The sequence below is a fragment of the Homo sapiens genome, chromosome 1 (assembly GCF_000001405.40).
Source record: "Homo sapiens chromosome 1, GRCh38.p14 Primary Assembly".
Taxonomy (NCBI): domain Eukaryota; kingdom Metazoa; phylum Chordata; class Mammalia; order Primates; family Hominidae; genus Homo; species Homo sapiens.
The window spans coordinates 202,579,101-202,603,953 of NC_000001.11; the positions used below are offsets into that span (position 1 = coordinate 202,579,101).

Below are 24,853 nucleotides of genomic sequence, written 5' to 3' on the forward strand. Positions count from 1 at the left end.
TTATAGATATTCAGTAATTTTCTTTTTATTTCCCTGATACAAATTATTTATGTATCTGTGATTCATATTTGTGTACATACACATATATTTATATAATTTAACCTATATCTTCTCTGAGAGATCAAGGAAACAGATTATATTCCTTAAGGCACAGTTAGATCTCCTAAGTGGTTAATAGCAGAGCCAGAGCTAGAACTAAATAGGCCTCATAACACCTCAGCACAGGTCACCCTTTACTGGGGGCATTACCTGCCCCTGGGGTCCTATAGGTTGAAATGACTAGTCAAAGGACACCTGTATTGAACAGATACAGATGTAGCTTTCTGTAGCCTGCATAGTGGCGATGTACTTACCTGCTATCCTAAATCGCTCTTGCTGCCAGTGGGACCCACACATAAACTGTACCCTTATCAACATCCCATTAGGATTTTTCAGATGCACAGCGTACTTGTTGAAAGTGCCTGATCATGTAACAAAGACTTGAACTTCCAGGATGGAACTTGAGGCTATTTTTCCTTTTTTTCACAAGTTAGACAACAGTATGTGTAATGTTCCAGGATAGCAGAACTAATAAAATTGAGTTTCCACTCCCTCCCCTGCCCAACAAGCATCTATTTCTGTGAATTACAATGCCATCCCCTAAAACTGCTGATGAGGCCTCTGGGTATCCTTTGGTGACTGTCAGTGGGGAGCTTTGGGGAGGATTAAATACATGCCTAGTGTTCACTGTGCCTCACAGCTCTGTGAGTGTAAGTTTTCTGAGTTTTAATTGTTGAAAGTGGATATGTATAGTATGACCAGTGAGAATTTGGAGGATTATTCACCGAAGGCACCAAGTGGAGGATGCTTAAATCATCTTGTGCATATGGCAAGAAAGCCGAGTACTGCCTCTCTGGCCTTTGCTCTTGTTTTTGATGAGATGTGAAGCAGTATCCTCCTTTAACTCTTCTAGTTGACCACCACCCCCTTTCTGAATTCTTTCCCTATGTCCTCACCAGCCCATTTTGGCTCTCTCCCCAATTTCTTTAGGGGTGAGTTTAAGGGCAGGAGAAATTGAAAGTGGTTACTGATTCAGTAGAATGAAAGGATATACAGTGTGAAATGTGAGGTCTGCCTATGAAGAAATAAGATATTACTGCTAAATATGCCAGCTCAAAAGATGGAGTGGCTATAATCTCCCTAAAGATTAACATTACCAACTCAATAAAAAGGAAGATTGAAGGGAATTTCATCCCTGGGAGAAGGGACCATGAGAGTTTATTCCACACATTGTCTCAAAAGGCCCTGCTCACCAGGCTGGCCTGGCCTGGTCAGGGAGGGCCAAGGAGGATCCTGCCAGGCTCTAACTCACCTTTCCCTCTGTCACCCTACAGGTGTTAACAGAACTGAAATCCGACAACCAGAGGCTGAAAGATGAAAATGGTGCCCTCATCAGAGTCATCAGCAAACTGTCCAAGTAGGCTAGGCTCCAGATTTATGAGGAAAGAAAGGGACAGCATTTGCTGCCCCCACCCCTCTTTTCCAGTCCTTGCCTTCCAACCAAAAGAAATGGATGTTTTGGTGGAAGGACACTTCTTTCTATCACCCTCTTCAGTCACCTCTATACACTCTACATTTTCTCTGCACTTTCAATGCCCTGTTCTTCCAAACCCCTATCCCAAGTTTTATGACAGTTTTAATTGAAGCATGATTGTGGTAATTCGAGCCATCTGGAGAATGCTCTGGGGAGTACACCAGGCTCAGCTGTGGACCCCTCAACTTCCTGCTGCTCAGCTACTTTGTCCACATTGGATTTGGTCCAAACATGTAAGACTTCTACCCTAATCAGTATCCTTCAGCTTTTTACATTAACCCAGTGTCCTCTGATATAGGTGAGTCTTGTGGTAGCCACTCCAGGATCCTGATTGGGGTGCCAAGAGAAACAGCAGGATGTTGAATTGATCATCAGATGCCCTCTGGAATGGTTAGCATCCAAGGTGACAGTGACTGCATTGAGGCGCTCTATTCTTCTTCACCTCTCAGGAACTGACTTTTATTTTTTCTGTCAACACCCAGTAATCTCCCTAACTAGTTTTAACCCTTATTCCTCCCTCATACCTAGCCATTTCTCCAAGGCGCAAATGGCCCTGGCTTCATTTATTCCTTTCCTTTCTATCCTTTTATATTTTTCCCTTCCCCACCCCCTCACTCAATGGTATAAAAGCTAGGACAGAGCACCTGACCTCAGTTGTCTTTGGCCATTGTGGGAAGTCATTATTCTGGAGACAAGAAAATCATCACTCTGGTGCCTTGGTGGCAGCACCACTGCCTGCTCCCTGGAAGGTAGACTATGGCATAAGTGTCAGCTCATTGTTTTCGTCTCCCACTTATCTTCCCCCTTCAAAGTGATTTTCTTTATAAGAAAATTTGGGCTCTGAATACTCCATTCTGCCTCACTTCCTTGACCTTGTTTTCCTCTCTTCGCCCTGACACCTGCTTCTAATGAGAAATGAAGTCAGTGCAAGGAGGAATGAGAGGTGGGGAGGGGAGATTGTTGAGAGATGGACTAGGAAGTGGAAGCAGGCTGGAAAGACACATATGGCGAAAGTCAAGTATCTGAGGCCACTTGCAACATTGTGACAAAGAAGATGGAAGATAGCAGCCTACTGGGCTGTGAGAATAGTGGTGAATTTGATTATTTCCAGTGGTTAGATTTAGCAGAGAGATTTACTTTCTTAGAAATTAATAGGGGAAATGGCACTTAATAGAGGTTTAATGGAATGAAGTACTTTCAACCCATTGATGAGAGTCATGGAAGTTTAGAGTGGCAAGACCCAGAGGTCATTAGGTCCAGCTTTCTATTATTGTGTCACAGGGACCCCTGCTACCACAGCTTTCACCCATGGGCATGGTCAGGTAGCCTCTGGTGGCTATGCATTTATTACTCAAAAGTTGGGCAACTCTAATAACGAGAGAGTTTTTCCTCATATCAGCTGAAGTCTGCCTGTGGATTCTCCTTGTAGTCCAGATCTACTATCTGCAACTCTTTAACGGCACTTGAGATATGTGCAGTGGGTGGTCTCCCCCTCAGTCTTACTTTGAGCTGCTGTTACTCTAGTCCTTTAAGTCATTCCTCATATGGCATGCTTTTCTTACCTGTCACATCTTGGCCATCCTCCTCTAGACAAAACCAGCCTTTAAAATATCATGTCCAGGCCTGGAAAGAATACAAATCCAGTGCAAAATTAAACCATTAGTTCTTGATGATAACCTAGCATTAATACTTACAGTATTTTCTTTTTGTAGGAGTTTTATCCCTTGGTTCACTTGAGTGTGCAAGTCATTAAATCCTCATCATTTTAGGGTTGCCAGTGATATTCAGTGTTTAGAGTGGTTCATTCCCTTAATATATACTACCTCTGTCTGTTAATTCTTTCCTAACATGACATGTAGCTCTCCATGGTCCTCCCTCTGAAACACCACATGCTGTTTAAACTAGAAGCTGTAATTCAAGATCCCAATTCCACCAGGTGCAGTGGCTCATGCCTGTAATCCCAGCACTTCAGGAGGCCGAGGTGGACAGATCACGAGGTCAGGAGTTCGAGACCATCCTGGCTAACACGGTGAAACCCAATCTCTACTAAAAATACAAAAAATTAGCCAGGCGTGGTGGCAGGCGCCTGTAGTCCCAGCTACTCAGGAGGCTGAGGCAGGAGAATGGCGTGAACCCGGGAGGCGGAGCTTGCAGTGAGCCTTGATCACGCCACTGCACTCCAGCCTGGGTGACAGAGCAAGACTCCATCTCAAAAAAAATAATAATAATAAATAAATAAAAAATCCCAATTACAGAACAGGAGATATGTTTCCTCTGACAAAACCCCATTTTTAGAGTGTATAAAATTCTGTCTTTCATTTCCAACCATTTTTCAAGAGAAGCTGCTACTATCTTGAGACTTCGTATTATCATGGGAGTACTGTAAGTTCAGTTCTCAGGGAATGCTAAATTAGAGTAATAAGTTTTATATCCTTCATTCTGGGAGAGGAAATCAACATAAGGTGTTGACTAATTGATTATCCTGGAACATTTTGAATATTGGGGAAGGAAGATGATACTTCTTTCTCAAGAAAAGAAAATTGGATTATTAGGAATACATCTTGACCCTTTTCCACTCAATAGACCAGGGAAAGGGGTTACAGAGAGCCTCCTCAGATCTGTTTGTGCCTTTCAAAAGTACTGGGGGCAGATTCTCAAAACTCTTAGATTGGTGTTGCATCCCTGCCACTTCACATGACCCTTCCATGTTAAAGCTGACTTTTCTTGCCAGAAAGTTTTCCTTGTGACAAGAAATTTGCAAGCTTTTCAATCTCAGGAATACTGGATTCTATAGCCAAGAACTCATGAAAGTAAGTGTAAACTATCCTAGGTAATTTCAGGTACTTTCTCTTATGCAATTAATTTTATTAACTGATTTCTGGTCTATCTCCAGAGATAAAATACCATTCCTTCACAACTGTATTGTCTGGAAGCCCCATGAGATGGTAATTATAGGCCTTCTACTAGCCAGCAGTTCTCTCTGGATACTGGCATCAGCAGGTCTCCTTTTTCTTGTGCTGCTTGGACAGGTACCTACTGCTGGCCTCTTCAGTGGCCACAATCCTCAGTCCTCACCTGCTGGTTTGGAGACTCATGAGCACCCCAGGCAGCTCAAGCTGAATAAATAGCTGCAGACATGGCCAACAACATGGGGCTCAGGTCTGTCACTTAACTTAGAGTCTTTACATGAAATATCAGAATGGGAAAGAGAATGTTCCTGGTAAAACTCTGTTTTCATTAATTTGTTATTTTTCAAAAACCGAGCCACACCTTTGGAAGTAATGATTTGGCCATTCCAGAGATTCTGGGGCTAAAGTTTGTTTTTCCAGGGCTGCTGATCCTTTTCCAGATAGCTCCAGAGTATGATGACCCCAGCCCCATCCCAATCTCTAGCGAAAGGGTTATGCAAATCTCAGGGTGTTGCCTCTAAAGAATCTAAAGAATAGACATGCTTTGGGCTTACTCAGTGTACCAGATTCTCTAGTGGGCCATTCTCATTTGATGTTCCCTAGAACCTCCCTGTCTTCCAACTGCAGGATGTGTTTACTTCTCTTCTGGGCTTCCCCTGGTTTCTGTCCTAGTTCCCACCCCAAGTTTAAGAAGACTTAGATTCATTTATTGCTATCTGAGGCCACTAGTGAGATTTCAGATCTCTCTTTTGCAACATTTTACCCATTTCCCTTCCCCAAACCATGTGCTTATTAGATGGTTCCACTCAGGAAGCAAGGAAGCTAAAACTCAAGTTAATGGTCTGTGGATCCCACGAAAGTGTGTGTAAACTACTGACTGTTTCTCCACTAGAGGCATTTAATTGAGCCAAAGATGATGGAAGAAGAAACTCTCAAAGCCATGTACTTTGTTAGGTGTCTGGATTTTTGGCCTGTTTGCAGCCTCTCCTAGCCACAGACAGACACTGTCTCCTCTCAGAGAAAGGCCAGTGTTTCGGTCCAGGCCACTGGTGAGTGTCGGCACCCTTGAGGTGGGCATGGAGTGAGCAGAAGAAGCCTGGAGAAGAGAGAACTATTTAAAAGTGTTGCCAGTTATTCAGCTTCCAGGCGGCTTTGCACCTCCAAAGGTGCAAAAAGGAAAAAGAAAGCAGAAAGGATTCAGCATTTAAGCAGAAAGAAAAGGGAAATTCTACTCTACCAGATGAGCCACTGGTTCCACTGGAGCTTATCAGTGAAGTAACACTGCAGGAGCCCTGGTATCCTTCCCTCAGAGATATCATCAGGGGCCCTCAAACCCCATTGTTTATGCCAGCACTGACCGCACTTTAAGCACACACTTACCAATCAGAGGTCGTGTAATTGGCCTAAATCTAGGCCCAGTTATTACTACAAATCTTAGTCACCATACTCTCTCGCCCAGGCTGGAGTGCAGTGGTGTGATCTCAGCTCACTGCAACCTCCACCTCCCAGGCTCAAGGGATCCTCTCACCTCAGCTCCCGAGCAGCTAGGACTGCAGGTGTGCACCACCATGCCCAGCTAATTTTTGAATTTTTTTGTAGAGATGGGGTTTTGCCATGTTGCCCAGGCTGGTCTGAAGCTGCTGGGCTCAAGCAATCCACCTGGCTGGGCCTCCCAAAGCGATAGGATTACAGGCGTAAGGGCCCACGCCCAGCCTACCATACTGATTTTCAAGGCAGGGTCTAACCCTTCATAAGATGTGAGTTCTTCCAACCCAATAAGCAGGCAGCTTTGAGGACAAAAAGGCAACATTAAAAGATAAGACCCTAGAAGTCAGAACATCTGTATTCCAAGGCCACCCCTTCTCCTTTTAGTCATGTGACTTTGGGCAGGTCACCCTCCCTGTCTGTAAAATGAGGTTGGACTGGATAATCTTTATGTGCCCTTTCCTTTTGGCTTAAAATTCTGTGATTTATTCATTCTTAGGAAGATCAGCATATTTATTGGGATTTCTGCTTCAAAAATTCTTTCTAACCTCAAAAATCCAAGTCCAGAATTTTTTGTTTTCTTCTGGATTTAAACTGTTTAATATGAGCACATCAAGGTTGACTTCTCATCCTTTTTGGGAAGTGAATTTAATATTGAGGGTAATTGAATGATGTTGCAATGGCTTTCCCTCCTGCTGGCTTGGTAAGAATATTAAAGCCTGCAGAGGTGGAAATTGGAGCTCATGGAGAAATGGATAGAAAGCAATTTGTTGCAGGCAGCCTTTGGACAAGTTGTTTTAATAGGAAATAGACCTGCTGCTTCATAGGTTTCCTCAACCACCTTTCCTCAGCTTTCTTAAAATGGGATCTACATTGGCTCTTCACACCCAAATAGCAGACTAATCGTTTTTCTGCTTAGCACCGTCTGGTTCATTGTCTTGAACTCTGCCTTACAGCAGCAAGAAAATTTTCCTCGACAAGAACCTCAATCTTTAGTTCCATTGAGCTCCCCCTCTGGATTTTGGACTTACCAGAAGTAGGAGGTTCTGATACCATTCAAGATGGTCTTTCCTTCAAAGCAGGTCTGAAGAGGAGACTACCAAAGCAGTGTTTACAAACCCAGAGTCCACACAACCATATTGCATAGAACAGCACTTGGCTTTCACAAGCCTCCTACAGGACCTGGTGTAATTGGAGTGAAAGGGCAGAGACCCTGGAAGTGGAGGTGGCTGTGTGCTGCGATGGGAAGAAGGCAGAAGGCCCAGGGGCTTTGGACATAGAGCAGGGTGGAAGCTGCAAGTACTGGGAAGGAAGAGAGTTTCACAGAAACAAAGCTTTGTCACACAGAAATGAGTTCTGTCTCACTGGTGACTTCATCCCTCAGGCTCCAGCTGAGCAGAGATTTTAATCAGCTTCCTTAATGGGTATTGACACTGCTCAGGAAGCAGTAGACCCTGTCAGGGACAGCTATTGATCTTTTGTGTTCTGATTAGATTGGAAAATAGATCAACTTCATTGTAGTCCAGGAACTGTTGGTCACAGCTACTAGGAATGAGGTGATTTCTGAGGGCTGAGAAAAAACACAGAATCTTGGCCAGCAGCCAGCAGCTGCATGGTGAAAGATGCATTCACTTCTCCTTTGAGAGTTGGGGTTGAGGGCAAACATAGAACCCAGGTTTGGCTTACAACCCAGTGTCCCGGAAGCCCTCCTTCGGGAGAACTGTAAGTAAGAGGTGGGTGTGTCTAAAGACAATACCATTAATGAATGTTCTGGCCTTACCTAAAAAGGTTTAGCAATTTGGGGATAACTCTTGGATCTAGCTTATGTGCGTTCACATGCACATTTGCTAGCCCAGAGCTTTTAAAATGAGGTCTGGCATATACTTGATTACAAATGAAAACTCAGAAACCAATTTTATTTATTAAATCATATCTTTTGTTTTTCCCCCTCCCTTCTAATCCCCCAAAGGACCTATTTGAGCTGTTCCCCAATTCATCTGCTTATTTTGGACCATGAATCTGCCAGAGTGATATTTTCTGTTATTTCTCCTCCAAATTTTTCCCTGATGTTTCCAATAAAGATTTACTTGGGTGGCCCCTTAAGGTGACATCAGGATGCTCTTATGTCCTTCCAGAATAAGCATACACTTCACTCCTCTCCCTTTCATCTCCCTCTGCATTCTTAATTCCTTGCTTTTCTCACTTGGAGCCGAGGGTGCTTTAGAGAGGTGGTTTTCCATGAATCAGCCAAGATTCCTGTAGAAGTTGGGTATACCAACCACCACCACCACCGCCCCCTATTCCAGTTTCAAAGCTCCTCGGCTATGCTAATGTCCCCTCAGAGATGAGGTTTGACTTTTAGGCCCGTATGACTCCTCCATAGCCTGGCCAAGGAGACCATGAGTAGCCATGTCTGGTTTACTCTTTATCCTGAGACTGTTTATAGCTTAAAACAGAAGTGTGTCTTCCCAGCACAAACCTAATCAATCAGTGTATCAGTGCATCTGGTGGCAACAGCTCAGCCCATTCAAAGAGCAAGGATTCAGGAAAGGCACACTGATGGTGGGGAGCCTCTTAAGAGCCTCTAATGTTCTCCCAAAACCAGAGTTGAGAGTCGGAGTGCCAGTCGTCGGGGCCCACTATTCCTGAATAAGGGACATGCAAGGGCCAGAAGTAGCTTGACTCTCGCCTAAATATCTGTGCCTTTGCCTGTCCTTTCTCCCACTCTACTGAAACCCGGAACAGATTCCCGCTTGCCTTCTGATGAAGAGAGGTTAGGTAAAGAGAGTTTGGAGGAAAAAAGACACCAGGAGGCAGGCTGCGGGGTAGGAGAGGGTTCTGAGAGGAGGCAGCAATCCAGAATACCTCCTTTTCTAGCCAGCATCCCTTGAACTTTTGAAAGGTTGTGCCTACCACTGGCTGGCACACCAGGGCAATGATTTCCCTGCAGAAGGAAGGAAAGAATGTTTCACCCTTGCATCCTTCTTGGAGAAGCTACAGCCTGTGCTCAGTTGAGTGGTTCACACTCAGACTTTGGCTTTATGGTTTTCCTTCCTCCTTGTCTTTGCCCTGACCTTGATCAACAGGGGTGAAAAGAACCACCCTGAGGTTTCCATGCCTCTCCCATTTTAGTGGTAGCATTTTGTGTCTTTACTCCACCCTTCACCCTAGTTCCACCAAGGTTCACACACCAGATGTAACTGTTTTTCAGCTGAGTTGTATGGATTAACTTCAGTCCACTGTAAATACACCTGGGATGGGGTGGGGTTGGGGTTGTTTAGGGAGAAGCAGCCAGACTTGCTTTGTGAACTGAATGTATTTTTATGCAATTTTGAGTGGCCTTTCAACCCTAAGATGAATGGTTTTGTTTTACTGGTTGTTGTTATATAGTTTTGAGTATTCTGTGTTTGAAAGTTTGGGAATAATAATATTCACTTCTATATGATGCCTGTAAACACAACAGTATTTATAAATGAGTAAATAAAACTGTGTTTTAACTTTGTGACTGTCTCCACAGTTCAGAGCATGGGATTTCTAGAATCTCACATCTGGGGCAGCCTCTTCTGATTTTACATCTTATCATTGGTGGGGGCCTCGCCCACCAGCCTCCTACAACTCCTGTCCACATAGAGGCCCCTTCCCCAGGGACAGCCACAGTGAGTCATGGCCACTGAGAAGGGTCTCTGGTAGTATCAAGGAATTTCCTAAATGGAGTCAGGCCAAGGAGAAGCCTAGATTGGCGTTCAAAAGAACCGTAAGATAGATAGATAGATAGATAGATAGATAGATAGATAGATAGATAGATATCAAGGTTCCAAGCTTCAAGTAACCAAGAGTATATACGGTTATTTCTTGGAAGACACCAGGTTTAAGTGACAAAGGTGTTGAGGCCATCCAGGTGAACACTAGCACACTCTAGTACATGGGAAAGTTGAGGTCTAGGGAGGTGGTGATTTCCTTGGGCTCATGGAAGTCTCCTGCCATCACCCTTAGTCATCTGCTATATCCATAAGTCTTCATGAGGTCATTGTTTAATTCAGGAGATCCAAAACTATCCTGTAGTTCCAAACTACAAATGTAGTTAACTTGGGGGCTATTGAAGGTTAAATCTAAACTCAAAATGAAGGAGCCATGCCCAGAGAAGAGCTGTTCAGGCCCGCTGGCAGGGTTTGTACGTGGGTGGCCAGGTCTGACCCCAGGCAGCCAGGATCTGGGTCTGGTTTCTCCATCCAGCAAGCCCTGCCTCTGGCTTTGCTCAGCCCTGTGTTTCCTGCCAAGCGGAAATCCCTGGTCACTGACTTGGGGAGAGGTCAGGGAGGGAAGATTCTTCTCCCCTGATGTCACCCAGCTGTTTGTAACCCAAGCAGCAGCAGAACAAGCACACTTGATGTCATGGTTGAAGAATTCAGTCCTGTCCTGGGGCACAAAACAGAGGCAAAGAAGCATGACCGATGCAAAGGGTTCCTAGACTGCAAATGTCATTTCTCTTTCTGACCCCCACTGGTTGTAGTAAGGTCTGCAGATACAGTATCACCTAGCCGTCACGTGGTCCAGCCCTCTTGGGGGGAAAGGAGAAGGCCACAACCTATTGGCAGAGTAAAAAGCTCATATTCTTAGCCAGGAGACCCTCAGGTGATAAATCCCAGTCCGTCTGCTGAAAGGCTCATGCCCCTCACCCTACCCAGCCTTAGGGACTGAAGCAGCAAGACAGGATAGATGTTAAAGGATCTGGGCTCATGCTCCCTCAGGTGGGCAGCTCCCATCCCTGCTTGCATTCACTGCCCCCATGCCTTTGGACCTGATGGACAAGCACACATCTAGCCAACGGTGTTCCTGGAGGACAGGTGCTGGTGTAAACTGACAAAAATGGTAGCTGCTGGTCTATCCTCAAGGAGAGGAGACAGGTGGAAGTGGGAACCGAAGAAGGAGTTTTACTCTTCCCTGGTCTTTGGGGGCAATGCTGTCCCACTCTCCCTTTCCCTAAAAATTCTGACGCCCTATCCCTGGTCCCTAACATCTTTGCTTCAGAAGTTAAAGACATTTCAAGTTATTTGCAAAGAGTCAACTGAGGACTTTGTAGAAATTGTTACTTTTCAAATTCCCACTTCCCAGGGCCAGCCTCCCTCTCGTCATTGGGCTCAGACTGTGGCTGTTCCCTAAGCCCAGCTCTACTGGAAGGGAATTCAAGAATATAGTCCCCACCACCACCCCGCCCCGCCCAGCCTCCCAGACAATGTTCCCCGGCACCACCACACTCCCCACAGTTCCACAGCCTGGCATGTGTTCTCAGGAGATGTGTGGGCCCCAGCACCCACCAGAGTGCCAATCTGGTCTTCCCCCAACCCCAGGAGAGAGGGGACCTCAGCCCCTTTTGGTGCTTCCCTGAAGGGAGATTCTGGGTTAGAAGCCAGAGCCTCAGGACCATCTCACCACCCTCACCCACCATACTGACCCTCACAGGCAGCTCCCACTCCCTCACCCCCACCTCAGCGCAGCAAAAACAACCAGAGACACCCCCCACCCCCAGGTTTCTTTCAGCTCATTTCTTTAATAAGGAGACGCAGTTCATTACAAAATAACAATTTGACAAGAGATCAGACAAGAACAAGAGTCCACATAAGGGAGATGGAGAGCATTGCCAAGCAGAAGTGGGAATGAGAGGGCCGGGGGCAAGGGCTGTACATGTGTCCTTCCTATGGAGACGAAGGCAGGGCTCCTGGTGGGCTGACCTTGGCGAAGCTAGGCTCTGCCAGGCCCTGATTTTGAAGTTTTCAGCCCCAGGGTTTTCAGAAAGCAGCAAATCAAGTCCTTAGATGGGCAGGAGTCAGGGCAGAAGGGTCACTATCTTTGAAGAGGCCCCCCTAAAGTCCTGATCGCTAAGGCAGGTGGGATGGAGGAACTCCTGGTGCCCCATGCACACTGCTCCCATCACCTCACCAGACAGATGCTCTCTCAACTCTTGCCTCAATTTGTCTCTGCTGTGGGTGTGGAGAGTGGGAGGGCCCCAGAGAGAGCTGGAGGAAGCAAGACATGTCTTCACTGGTCCAAGCACCTGATTCCAGCCTGCTCTGAAATGGTCCCCTCCACCTTCCCCACTCTTTCAGTTCCCAGCACAAAGGTCCCTGGGACTTCTGTGTGCAACTTCTGTTGTGGTTTGTGCAGGGCAAGCCTGCCTCGCCACCTCTGGCCTCCTCGAATGCGCCCTGCCTGATTCCCTTCCCGTTCTCTCTCCTTCCTCATACTTGTCACAGTTGCCAGGCCTGAGGCATCCTGGGCTCTTCCCATGCAGTACTGCCCTCAGGTGCCCATGGGGCCAGGGGCCGCAGGCAGGGGGGCTACCTGTCCCTCTCAGTTCAACAGGATGACCTGGGGCCTTGGAAGCCCCCAGGCCCCTCTACTCACCTCTGCTACTTGGTGCAACTGGCTGGGGCTTCTCTGGGGAGCAGGTGTGAAGGTCAGGGGACTTAGTCCACACCTGCTCTGCCTGAGCCTCTCTCACAGCTGAACCTGCCCACCCCACTCTCAGGGGATCGCTGGTAGCCCTGAGGTTGCCCCGCTATTGGGCTGCTTTCTGTCAGACTGCAGGAGGATGCACGAGGGAAGAGCGTCAGCCCCTGTATTCACCGGCCTCTCCCTGAGTCCCTCCTCCATCACCACCCACAGACCCTCACACTACAGAGGTGAGTAAGCAGGGATGGTTCTGTCATCCCTGGCTGAGCTGCTGACTGGCTGCTCCTGAAAATCCTGGTTGCCTCCACAGGGACCCCAGGAAAGGTATCCAGAACCATGGAGTCCCACTGCTGTCTGCTCCTCGCCCAGCGTAGAGATGGAGCTGAACTGTGAACCCAGGCCGAGAAAGCCAGCTCGGGCAGGGCCAGCATGGGCATCTCCTGAGACCCCACCGGAAGCCCTGGACACCGTCCATTCTCATGACACGGGACTGAGGGAGCAGGAGGGAGTGACAACAGGTGAGCCCTTCAGAAGTGGTCTGTGGGGAGCCAGTTGGAGAGACATGGGGGCTCCTGGGAGGAGCCAAGGGAGGCCAAATCTCCAGCAGGAGGCCCCCTTTATGGCTTTTCAGTGAATTCAAACAGTGGGAGGAAGGGGCACACCACACACATACACAGAACATGGAAGCTACTGGGATGCCAGATACCAGGCTGGACACTGCACCGGGCCCTGAGGTTTGGCTCTGCAGGCAGATGTGCAGCAAACAGGCCTTCAGGGCGACAGGGTCCTCCAGCATCTCCCAAGGCAGGGCTGGACTGGAGCAGGCACCGACTCCCGCCCACTGATGACTCCCATGGGGGGTTTCCCGATGGGAGGAGGCAGGGGTGGGGCTGGGGAACAAAGACTTTACACGACATAAAATCAAAGGAGCAGCCTCAACCAGTTCTGTAAAATGGGTTTGAGGTTGGGGATCAAGGGGACTCTCAGCATTGCCATGCGGCTATTTACAGAAAGTTATAGACATGCATCTTGATTAAACAAGATTCTGTTCATATGTTTCTAGGTAATTATCTTCTTTTATATATAATTAAATATACACGGATGGGGGCAGATGAGGCTCAAATGGCTTCAGAAGGTTCTTATTTTGTTGTTGCTTAAAAAATAAAGTAATTCATGTGTCTTCAAGTCACAGTGTCCCCTTCTCAATATTGCAGTTCAAAAAACTGGTTAAGTCAAATCCTTGGGGTTCCTGGCCCCTTGGGACCAAAGGGAGAGGGGGAAAAGTCATAGGGTAGGGTTCCCAGACACAATGCAGGATGACCAGTTACATTTGAATTTCAGATAAACAACAAATTATTTTTTAGTATATGTCCCAACTATTTGCCTAGGACATATTTACACTTAATAATTGTTTGTTGTTGAACTGAAATTCAAATGTAACTGGACATCCTGTATTTTTATTTGCCAAATCTGGCAACCATAGCATGGGGCTCAGGGCCACCAGGATCTTGGGACTCCTCCCTGCCTGCCACCACCCAGGGCTCTGAGAAAGGGCCCCAAACAGCTTTAGGTGGGAGGGGCAGAGGAAAGGGAAGGGAAGGGGCAGAGCAGAGGATATGAGGGCAGTTCCTGGCTCAATCTCTTTCTACCTTTGAGTGGGAGGGGACACCCTCAGGGACAGTTTTTCTCTCTGTGAGGCTGGGTGAGACCCAGGACTCAGATGCCTTATGAATTAACCTAGGACATTAAGGGAACATGGAAGCTCTCACTCCCCAAACCCAGGGAGGTTCCTCAACCTCTTTGCTGTCACCCACCCTTACCCCCACCCCACTGCATGGAGGCAGGTTTATAAGAGAGCTGCTTTTACCCACAGGAGGGCTGTAGTGACCTCTCTTCTCCCTCTCGCTGAAGCCTTGGGCCAGCAAAATCATCCCACACTGATTCTGCAGACACAAGTTATGTATGCTTTCCTAGGAAGAAAAAAGATCAGGATCTGAGACTGTGGCCTAATCCCTGCTATCTCATCCTCTACTGAGGGACTCCAGGAAAGTCACTTCTCATTCATGCCAAGCACCTGCCTACTGTCTGAGATTGCCCCAGCATTCCTTACCCAGCCTTCCCCAGGCCTCAGCTTCCACTTCCAAAGCCCAAAAATCTGCCTGTAGCTCTGGCAGAGTTAGCATCCCTTCTGGAACAATTATTCAGGGAGGAAGAAGAAAACGAACTTTCAGACTTTACCCCAGTTTCTGGATGGGATTAGGCTTGTTTTCATGGTCTCAGCTTCTCTAAAAATCACCTCTATACTACTTTCCTTTCTCTGGAACAGACTTTGAGATGAAAACTCACAGCCCCAGAGGCGTCCAGAACCCCTTACTAGCCAGACACCCTAACTCTATCCTGCTTAGTGCCTACACCCCAGTACCCTGACATCCCCAGAAATAAACCTGCCCAGCAGTGAGTGTTTGGCATGATGCCCTGTGGTTTAAGCTACGTCAGCCCTCAGGTATGGAAAACACACAAGCAGAAGCATGTTCCCACCAAGCCCATGGACCAAGACAGATGCCATCCACTACGTGGCATATCAGGACCAGCTGGGACCTGAGGAAGGCACTGCTCCCCACACCCACACTGGCTCCACACTGGTGTCAACGTTCAAAATCACTCAGCAACCTGTCCCCACCCCTCAAGGCTCCTCACTAGCAGTGGGCTCAGAGTAATAAAAATCCAGCCCTGGTCACCAGGCACATAGACACCCAGACCACCAGAGGTTCCTACCATTGCCTTTCCTCCCTGTCAAGGGAATGCAAATCTTGGGCTTTGGAAGGGCTGAATGAAGTTCATGAATGGAAAAGAATCCAGGTGGTAGAAGATGAATTGGGAAAGGGCAAAGGAGTAAAGGTAGAGGGGATATTGACAAGGGGGTCTCCATGAGTGAGTCTGTGGGATATGGGTGAGAAGAGTGAGTCTGGGGAGAGACCCTGAGAAAGCACCAAAATCCCATAACTCTGGGGTTGGGAGAAGAGTCCAGTGACTTCTGATGTCCATACCAGGAAATCCCACTCTGTGGCCACCCAGATTCTGAAAACACCCTATTGTCCTACAACTCTCTACCATGACCACACCTTTGGTCCCAAGGACCGCAGTTCATAATCCTGATCAGAGTCTTACCTTCCCATCATTAAGTACACACACACACACACACACACACACCAGTAAAAACATAACTTCCCATGTACCACTAACAAGACAAAGAAGGATCTCCAAGAGACAGGCAGGCTTTCCAGTCTGTTTCTGGTGGGGGTATTCCCTCATTTCCCTCACTCCTTCATCCAAAAAACAAAGCAAAACCAAAAGCCCCTTCCCCCTTTTTAAAATAAAATAAAAAGACACTCTGCAACTTCTTCACACTGGATCCTCAAAGCCTGATTCCCTCCAACACTGTCCATCTGTCTTGGGTGTCTACAGGAAGCTGAAGTGGCCCAGATGGGGCAGGATAGAGATGCTGCCATTTGTGCTGGGAAAGAGAGATACTCAGGCTTCTGGAGAAGCCATGAGTTTTCTGTGGTGAAAAAATGGCAAGGGCCTGAGGGCTTCATGGATGGAAAAGAGAGGTCAAAGGAAGGCAGGCAAGGAGGGCTGGCCTCTGGCCACAAGGGGACCTCACTCTGTTGTCCAGGCTGAAGGATTGGAAGAAGACTCAGTGCAAACCTGACTAACATATATATGGCTTTTATATCAGTGCTGGGGACAAAAGGTGAACAGGGAATGGGATACAACTGAGCATGGGTAGAAACCCTAGAAGGTCACCTCTGCTACTCATTTGGAATGGATGCCCTTTGTTTCTTAGCATTCATAGAGAGAAGCCCCCTAATGGTAGGACGGGTCCTTCCCATAGGTCTCCCTGGGCCACTCCAGCTACCTATCAGCTCTCCAGCATGGAGGGCAGAGGGCCAAGGGAGCAAGGAGTGGGAGTCGGGGGAATTCCAGTGCTCCCCTATATCTCCTCCCAAGGGATCTCAGCCATCTGTCCCCCATCCTCTTCTTACCACCCCCTTCTTACCTGGACCTCAGGAGAACTAAGAACATTTAAACTTTCCTTTTAAAGTTCTCTGGCTCTGCACAGATAACGTGTCTTCAGACAGTGTTGCTCCACTTAAAAGAGAAACAGAAGCAAAAGCACAATGGGGAATAAATGCAAATGAACTTGGCTGCTTATATTCTGGAAAGGGAGAAAGCATCTGTGTTTCCCACTGGATGGGGTGAAGATCCAGGAGTTTAATTTTGGTCTTTCTGGTAATGGGACTTCTGTTTCTTCATAGTTTGATATTTATTGTCAATAAGAGTGAGATTTTGGGACTGAGAGTCCCTGTTAGTCTGACCCAACTAGTGAATAGCTCATATCCATGAATGTCCCAGGAACTACACTTCTGGGGAAACCATGACTGGCAGGAGGAAGTATTTGATGGCATCGTTTGGTCCTAGTTCTGAACACATCCAGTCTTCACATCTTGCTGCCTCCCAAATAGCCACCAACAGGAGTATGAAAGCCCCGATATCTGAACAGGATCCTGAGACTTTGCCATAGATGAGAGAAGATCTCCCACTTAGTGGACTTCTTCATGTCAGGGTCCCCAAAGAGCCTTCTTTTCCCACACAACTTTACTGTCCATGGCTCATTCCAGGAATGAAGAGAGATGCTCAAAGAGACACACACACACACACATTCCAGGAATGAAGAGAAATGCTCAAAGACACACACACACACACACACACACACACACACACACACATACACACACACACACACACACACACACACGATCATTGGCCACTGTGATGCCTTCCCTGTCAGGAAGCAGGATGTGCTGCCATTTTGTTGGTCCAGAAGGCTCAAAAAACAGGAACTGCTGCAAGTTTGTGCCAGTAGAGAGCCTCGCTTGGGGTGAGGCAGATGTGAAGCTTTGAAAGAGTCGAGGGAACTGTGACAGGGCATGCAGCAAGGACAGCTCCTGGGACCGTGAACAGAGCCAGGCTTCTCTTTCACCTCTTAGGGGACTCTCCTCACACAGCCATCAAAGGGAAGTTGGTCTTTAAAAAGAGAAAAACAAGGAAAAACAAGGACACAACCACCCAACAAATGAAAGAAAAAAGAAAACCTCTAAGGTTGCATAACTGAGGTATTGATAGCTCTGGATCTTGTCAGTGTCCGTGAAAGGTGTGGGGTCCCAGCCGCTGCTGTCTACTTGTTCTTGCCCAGGAGTGCATCCACCTCCTCCTCAGGCTTGAGCGAGTGCCACTGGGCGATGGGCCTCCGGGGGTTGGCCAGCATGTCGGACCAGTGCCGCAGCTCTGTGCCCGTGGCATTGCTGCCCACGAAGATCTTGCCTATGGCTTCGTTCTTGCCCAGCTTGTCATAGTCCAGCACGGTGACCACTACCTGGACTTTCTGCAAGGAAAACGAGGGAGGGAGTTGGCAGACAGAGACGTGGGATCCCATGACCAAATTTATCCTCCATCAACCTCTACTCCCAATGATTGGGAAGGTAAGGCCTCCTGGGGCTCCTTGGTTTCATCTCTGCTCCAGTGAAGACTGAATTGACATGGAGGCAGAGGCCACGCCTTTGGCAGCCTTTGTTTCTACCACTGGGCATTTATTGAGGATGTACTGTGCTCTAGACCCTGTTAAGCACTTGGAGGGGGAGAAGAGGGAAGGAAAAGTGAAAAGATGAATTTCACTTCCTCAATGAGATCAGCAGACATGTAACTGAAAACTTACAACATGAATTGATAAAGGTTATGCTAGAGAGATGGGCACAAGGTACTGTGGAAACTTAGAGGAGGTGACAGTCCTGGGGCCAATCAGAAAAGGCTTCACAGAAGAGGTGACTGGGACATGAAGTCTGAGAATTTCTCTAGGAGGAGAAAAGAAGGAAGAGGATTCCAGGAAAACAGATTTGCTTGGGTAGAGGCATAGAGACCTGAGAGTGCATTTGGCATCTGAGAAACATTAGATGTTCAGTCATTGAGGTATAGGGTGAGAAGCAGTGAGGCAGGAAATGAGGCTGGTAGAGTAGGTTGGGGTCAGCCAAGGAGTCTGCATTTTGTCTTTCAGGCAAGCAGTAGGGGACTCCTGACGACTTTAAGAAAAGGAGTGTCGTGGACATTTGAGAGAGAGAGCCCTGGCATTGAGTTGGAAGATTTACTGGAGGAGGAGTGGGCCTAATGGCAGGGAAGAGACCCATTGGAGGATGCTGGAGGGTCTGGGAGGATGGATCCCGAATACCTGTACCAAGGCAGGGACAGTGGGGATGGGAAGTCAAAACCAGGTTGGAGAGGTATTTAGGAAGAGAATCAAGAGGACTTGATGATCAGCTGGATTTGCTGAATGCTCGATGCCTTTTTCCCCTGTGACTCCAGCCAACTCAGATTTGTCCTTCAGGACCAAGCTCTCTCTGGGAAGCCTCACTACAGTCCTCCGCTTCATGGACATTGAAGCTGTCGTCTCACTGTGCTTTACTAGACTGTTTACTGGTGCCCTCCCACTGTGAGGTCCTTGAGAGCAAGGAGTGTGTGGATTACACACTTATTTCCTCATCCCCTAGCCTACCACTTAGGAAATGCTCAGTAAAGTATGTTGGATAAATGAGAAAGGAAAAAGGAAATAGTCAGTCTAAGGTGACGCCCAGGTTTCTGACTTGGGCCACTGGGTAAATGATGGACTGTGGGGTCATTCATTGAAAACAGAATTCAGATGAAACAGGCTTGGCTGGGAAGAGGTAGGAAGAAGAACATTACATTGGTTTTAGGCATGTTGAATTTGAGATGCCTGGGTCAGGATGCTCTAGATCTAAAATTCTCTGTAATGAGGACTTCTCTTGGATTAACATTATCACTGAGCTGCCCAGTGTTCCCTTGAAGTATTCCATCAATAACATCATACACATCTCCATAGATGACAGAACCAACTCTGAAGATTCTCTTGTACCCTTGCCCCCAGCCCTCCTGCGGGGAGGAGAGGGGGTGGGATCAGCTCACTACAAAGAAGGAGAGACCAAGACTCCATGATAACCGACCACTCTGCAAGCCCCCAGCTGCGCCTGACTTCCCGCCCAAATGGGTGGGTGGGTGGGTCTCTTGTCCTACCACGTCCAGATCCCACTCATACCTGGAAATGGTGAAAACCAGACCTCATCTCCAACATTTACAGAACTTGCTGGTGAGAAGGAAGGAAAAATAGAGAAGGCTGGAAGGGTGGAGGGAGAGAGGAGAGGAAGCAGATCAGAGGAGTAGATGGGAAAGACCTAGAGAGCAGTGGAAGTGGGGCAGGGATGGCCAAGACAGGATGTGGCTGGAGAGGATGGAGGTGGCAGCGGCCACTCCCACCCTCTCAGCCAGCTCCCAACCCCTCTGGCACCTTTGCTATACCCCCATACATCTGTGTGCATGACCATGGTCCTTCAAGTCCTAAACGAATGATTTGCAGAATTTTTTGAATTAGTTCATGTTTATCTCCTCAGAAAAGGGGGATCCCTGAAGCACTTGGGAAGGAGGCCCCACCCAGGCACCATTAGACCTCGAGCCTTCCCCTACCAAGAAAGGCTGTTCCATGGTCTCTAGGTGAGTTCCCTCTCTTCAACCTCCCCATACATGTTTGCCTCCCCAAACCCTGCTCCATGCCTAGGAACCCAGGGCTCCAGCACCTGAATCTGCTCGAAGGGGATCTCAAAGCTGAAGGACTCGTTGAAGTATGGGTTCAGGGTCTTCTTCTTCACGGTTGTCTTCTTCTTCTTGAGCCTCTTGCCATTCTGCATCAGGTGGATCTTCACGTACGGGTCTGCGGAGGGAGAATCCCAACCCCAGAGAGGTTCCCCTTAGCCCCCAGCCTTCCTGCCGAATGTACCAAGGCCTGCCCAGAGCATCGGTCAAGAGGGGGTCTTCACTCCGCTGAGACCAGGCCCTCAGAAAGCCCCAAGTCATGCCATCCAGTTCAAAGGTGGCAAAAGGCTTCACCTCCAGGACCAACTGTGACCAGTTGGTTGTGGCTTCCTGAAGCATTGGGTGGAGGGCATTTCTGAGTCTAAGTAAGGCCTTGTGAGAAAGAGTCTGGGGATTCATCTGTGATCCTGTACTGGGGAGTGGGTGGGGAGTGCTGAAGTCAGGACACACATCTGCTGGGTCATAATCCCAATCCGATCCCCCTAATCTTGCAGACAAGAAACTGAGGCCAAAGAACGGAAATGACCTGCCCGAGGTCACACAGCGGGTCAGTGACAGAGCCAGGCTGGCACTGAAACGCGCTGGTTGGAGCCCATGCCCAGGGCTGATTCTCTGGGAAGGCAGCTGAGGCAGCAGGCTTCATCCACTAGAGCCCTGTGCCATGGGCCAGCCCCATTCACTGCCAGGTAAATGTGATATTCAGAGCATCTTCCACTCCCTTGCCTCACCCTCCCCTTTCCAGGGCAGAGCCAGCAGAGCCTACAGCCTCTTCTGGAAACATGTCTCGATTGTGGTGTCATGCTTTGGGCTAAGCCCTGCTCATTTCCCTGGGAGAAGTAAAATCCTAAGTCACAAACTTATCTGGGGATGAAATTTCTCTGATCCTTTTCTCTGTAGCCCACAGTGCATGGCCAGAGAGCGCTGGGAAGGCAGCTCTGATGGGGACAAGGGGCCCTTGGAGAAAAGGAGGGCCTGGGAAGCTAAGGCTCCCCCGCTCCTCGAGGAGACATCTCAGTCCCAGGGCAGCAAAGTGTTCCTCTTCACTGGAGTGTGCAAACTCTGGGACTTGGTGCTGACTGGCTCGCTGGTGCCACCCAATGGCAGCCAGAAGCTCTCCACGTACCTGAAAGGCCGCCCACGTCCATCTTCTTGAGGTTCTTAGCCTCCAGGATGCAGACAGTGAGCTTCCCGGCCGTGGGCACATAGCGCAGGGAGGTGCAGATGTCGCCCAGCTTCTCCGGCTGTCCAGGGGAAGAGCAGGACTTGGGTCATCTCACCCATCCTAGTGCCTCTCTCATGGCTGACCTCTTTCTTGCCAAAATTAGCAAGGCAGTGATGTGTCCCTGCCTCCCTCATCACCAGTCCCCATATATGTGATGGCCGAGAAGGTCTTCCAGCATCTGACCTTGGGTCCCCCTGATGCAGTGCAACAAAGTCCCTGAAAGTGACAGGTTGGGACCTCAGGAGCCGTGGGCTGAGGATGCTGACAGATGAGGGGGGTAGAGGACAGCTGCGGTGGCAGGACTGAGGGAGGGATCCCTGGGTGGATCTGGGATCTGGGAGGTTGGGAGTATGTTTGGGCTCCCACCCCAGGCCCTGGTAAGGTGGGAAGGTGTGCGAGAAGCGGGTGGGTTAGCCACGTGTCCACCACCAAGGGCCCTGGGGGACTGAATGTCTCAGAAGCCTTCTTTCCCTTAACAGTCCCACCCACCAAGATCTCTCCTTGTGGACCATTCCACTTGTAGTATGATTTGTGGTTTTCGGAGCAATTTGCATCCCTTTTGTTACTATCACTGCAACTCTTTGATGTAAACAAGACAAGAATTCTTTGTAACCAATGAGAAACTGAGGTTCCCAGAGGCCATGGTTTGCTCAAAGTCACACAACAATTTAGCACTGTAGGCAGGCTGAGGACCCAGGGCTCCTAATTCCTAAGGCCAACACCACACTGCAGAGTCAAAGCTGCTCAAAGTCAAAGCCACCCAGGGCAAGACTGACGACATCACACAGGTCCTGGTTCAGGTGTGCTGGCCTTCCTCCCAGGCACAGGGGACAAAAGGGAAAAAAGGATGTCTTAAGCTTCTCTACTCAGCCCTCCATCACTGCCTAGAGTGTGCCAGGTAGCAGGGCCCTGGCCAAGACAAATGATTGATGCCCAGAAGGAAGAATGGCTAAAATGGAGTTTTAGGTACACAGCAATTGCTCAGCAAATATTTAGTGAGTGAATGGATGCTGTAGCAGTTCTGGGAGGACAAGTCCCTTTGCTGAGTATCCTTTAGAACAAACATGAGCTTTTCTTGTGGGTGAACTGAGGCACAGAGGCGTGAATCACTGGCCTTAGGTAATAGCAGAAGCTTAGGAGTAACAATAATAATGGTGTTTTTATTTATTTGAGTACCTACCAAATACCAGTCGCTGCGCTAGGCGCTTTATGCAGGTAATGAATCCTCATCTGTAAAAAAAGACTAAAGGAGGGAACCCGAGTCCAGAGAGTGTAAGCAACTTGCCCAGGGTCACACAGCCAGGCAGTGTGGAGCTGGGATCCTAACACAGGTCGTCTGCCTCCAAAGCCCACCCTGTTTCCATCATGCCAAGAGGTGGAAGCCCACCTGTACATTCGTCTTTCTGCCCAACCTGGCCTCATCTCTGCTCTTACCTCCTCCTTTTCCCCGCCTTGCAGGTCTCTCCACTCCTCAATGGGCTGGCCGAGGTCCACTGTGTTCATAGGCACCTTTACCTCTCCAATGATGTCATGTTTGGAGAAGCGGTCAAAGTCATAGATGGCCATCACCAGAGTTTTGCCCCCAAGCTCCTGGTATGGCACCTGCAGGGCACAAGCAGAATCAGAGGGGGCCAGAGCGACTCACGCACCTCCAGGGGTGCTATGGGCAGGGGCCTGCATTCCAGCCCACAGGGTCCAGGTTAGTGTGCCGAGACAGACAAAGACCAAGGCTTTTGGGGAGCAGAGTGTGAGGGTGGGGTGGGAGGGATCCCGATCCTCCATAGAGGCCGGGGTAGCCCTGCAGTCAAGGCTGCCATTGTTCCAGGCTGAGCCATGGCTAAGGACCAAGGAAAGGTCTGTAGAACTCAGCAGAGAATTGGGATCAGGCAGGGAGCTGGAGTCACCCTTCCAGCCCTCAGCACCTTGAAGGTGAAGGTTTCATTGAAGGCAGGGTTCAGTGTCTTCCGATGGACTTTGGTCTCATATTTCTTCTTCTTGTCAGGAAGGAGGAAGACCTTGACATAAGGGTCTGAGGTGCCTCCCATGTCCAGGGCAGGCAGTTCAGCAGCCTGCAGAACGCCCACAGTAAGCTGTGGAGAGAGATGGGGAGAAGGGGCCTGAGTCTCAGGACTGCTCCAATACCACAACTGGCCCCAGACCCAGCACCCACCAATTCCGTCCCAGAGGAGGCAGTTGGGGCAGGGAAATGGCGGGAGGCTGGTGCTAGAGAGGAAGATTGGTCTCCATTTCCATCCCAAGGAATTTGGAATGGCATTTAGGAAACCTGAGAAAGGGAAATTGCCTTGCCCAAGGTTGGTGGGGAGGTTAATAGCATAATCAACTTGGAACCTTCCCCAAAGCAGGCTAGTGGCCAAGCCAGCATCAATGTCCAGAGCTATAGGCCCTGCAGTTTCCAGCCTGCCTCATTCTATGGAAAGGAGTAGTGCCCACACATCTCTGAGGGAGCTGTTTCTATCCCCCTTCCACCCAACTCCCAGGCCTCTCCCCATTCCCCCACTCTGCCCCCCCACAGCCCTGCATACCTGATTAGCCTGAAAATCATAGTCCAGGGAAAACTGCAGTTTGCCCAGGTTCTCTGGCTCTTTCTCCTCCTCCCCTTCACCTTCCCCCTCAGTCAGGCCTGTCTCTGCGTCGTCGTCATCCTGTGGGAGCTGGGGGAGAGAGGGAACAAGTTAAAAGGGGAGGACCGAGAAGTCTGGCTTAGCACAGGATGACGGGAAACCAGCCCCTCTGTGGTAGACCCTGACTCAGAGCTGTGTGTGGTGGGAACACAAGAGGGAACGTGGCCCTGCCATGGGACCCTCCTTCACGGCCCATCAGAACCCCTAGGTGGCTCCTCTACCCCCAACCCTGTGTTTGAGACATGGCTCTGGTTTGGGCACCACTCTCCTGCCTCTGAGACACACTGTGCTATGGGACCAGGCCCTGTGCCAACTGCTCCATAGCTTCTAGGGGCTGGTGTGGGGGTAGGATTTACTTCCCTTGTAAGCCCTCTCCCAAACACTTTCCCCAGCTCAGGCCCCACGCATCCTGGGCAAGACATACCAGAAGTACGGTCCAGGCAGACAGGAGCAGAGTGAGCCCACAGAGGTGGAGAGAGAAAGAAGAAAGTGATGTAAGAGAAAATCCTGCAGCTCAAACCAGCCCCTGAAGTCACCACAGCCACTCCTCAAGACCAGGAAGGGCTACACCCAAGTCATCCTGGAACCCCTCCCAACACACTCTCACACTCACACACACTGCAGGTTCCTTTTGGGCCCACATACATACACATACCTGCATGTGCAAGGACATATACACACACACATGCACTCAAAGGCCATTTAGATCCCTGGCTTCTGAGATCAAGCCCTTCCCTCCATCCTCCATATGGATTCCTTGAGCAAGAGATTCCTCCTAGTCACCCCCAAACAAACATGGGGGAAATGGAAGCACACAGAGGCCTCTGCAAACTTAAAAGAAGAAAAGGAGCTTTCT

General features: G+C 48.9%; 2 protein-coding genes across 16 annotated transcripts in view, besides 3 other annotated features; one reads left to right on the forward strand and one right to left on the reverse strand.

Moving 5' to 3' along the window:
- Positions 1–13,602, forward strand: part of PPP1R12B (protein phosphatase 1 regulatory subunit 12B) — a 244,004-nt gene extending 230,402 nt beyond the window's left edge. For 7 of the 8 annotated variants that reach the window (NM_001331029.2, XM_017001345.2, NM_001410283.1 and 4 more), the window contains one exon: positions 1,374–13,602. In NM_001331029.2, the coding sequence (NP_001317958.1) occupies positions 1,374–1,460 (87 nt within the window). In that variant the 3' untranslated portion in view covers positions 1,461–13,602. The remainder of the gene's footprint in view (positions 1–1,373) is intronic. The other variant, NM_001197131.1, reaches the window with a different exon arrangement.
- Positions 9,689–10,888: an enhancer, noted in NCBI's record as "BRD4-independent group 4 enhancer chr1:202557917-202559116 (GRCh37/hg19 assembly coordinates)". NCBI's record gives its function as "activates an origin of replication core promoter dependent on BRD2, P300/CBP, MED14 and CDK7 cofactors, and independent of BRD4, by STARR-seq in HCT116 cells {active_cell/tissue: HCT116}" and the evidence as "EXISTENCE:reporter gene assay evidence [ECO:0000049][PMID:35650434]".
- Positions 10,294–10,343: an enhancer, noted in NCBI's record as "active region_2336". NCBI's record gives its function as "activates an Ori minimal core promoter by ATAC-STARR-seq in GM12878 lymphoblastoid cells {active_cell/tissue: GM12878}" and the evidence as "EXISTENCE:reporter gene assay evidence [ECO:0000049][PMID:35858748]".
- Positions 11,496–24,853, reverse strand: part of SYT2 (synaptotagmin 2) — a 119,859-nt gene continuing 106,501 nt past the window's right edge. For 4 of the 8 annotated variants that reach the window (NM_177402.5, XM_017000313.2, NM_001136504.1 and 1 more), the window contains 6 exons: positions 23,899–24,018; positions 23,278–23,445; positions 22,790–22,957; positions 21,257–21,374; positions 20,118–20,251; positions 11,496–17,863 (listed from right to left, as the gene is read on the reverse strand). In NM_177402.5, coding sequence (NP_796376.2) covers positions 17,657–17,863; positions 20,118–20,251; positions 21,257–21,374; positions 22,790–22,957; positions 23,278–23,445; positions 23,899–24,018 — 915 coding nt within the window. In that variant the 3' untranslated portion in view covers positions 11,496–17,656. Of the gene's footprint in view, positions 17,864–20,117; positions 20,252–21,256; positions 21,375–22,789; positions 22,958–23,277; positions 23,446–23,898; positions 24,028–24,853 lie in introns of all 8 variants that reach the window. The other 4 variants (XM_011509192.3, XM_017000312.2, XM_017000311.3 and 1 more) reach the window with 1 other exon arrangement.
- Positions 12,014–12,840: an enhancer, noted in NCBI's record as "H3K4me1 hESC enhancer chr1:202560242-202561068 (GRCh37/hg19 assembly coordinates)". NCBI's record gives its function as "activates a minimal SCP1, AML or CMV promoter by ChIP-STARR-seq in primed H9 embryonic stem cells {active_cell/tissue: H9 hESC(primed)}" and the evidence as "EXISTENCE:reporter gene assay evidence [ECO:0000049][PMID:30033119]".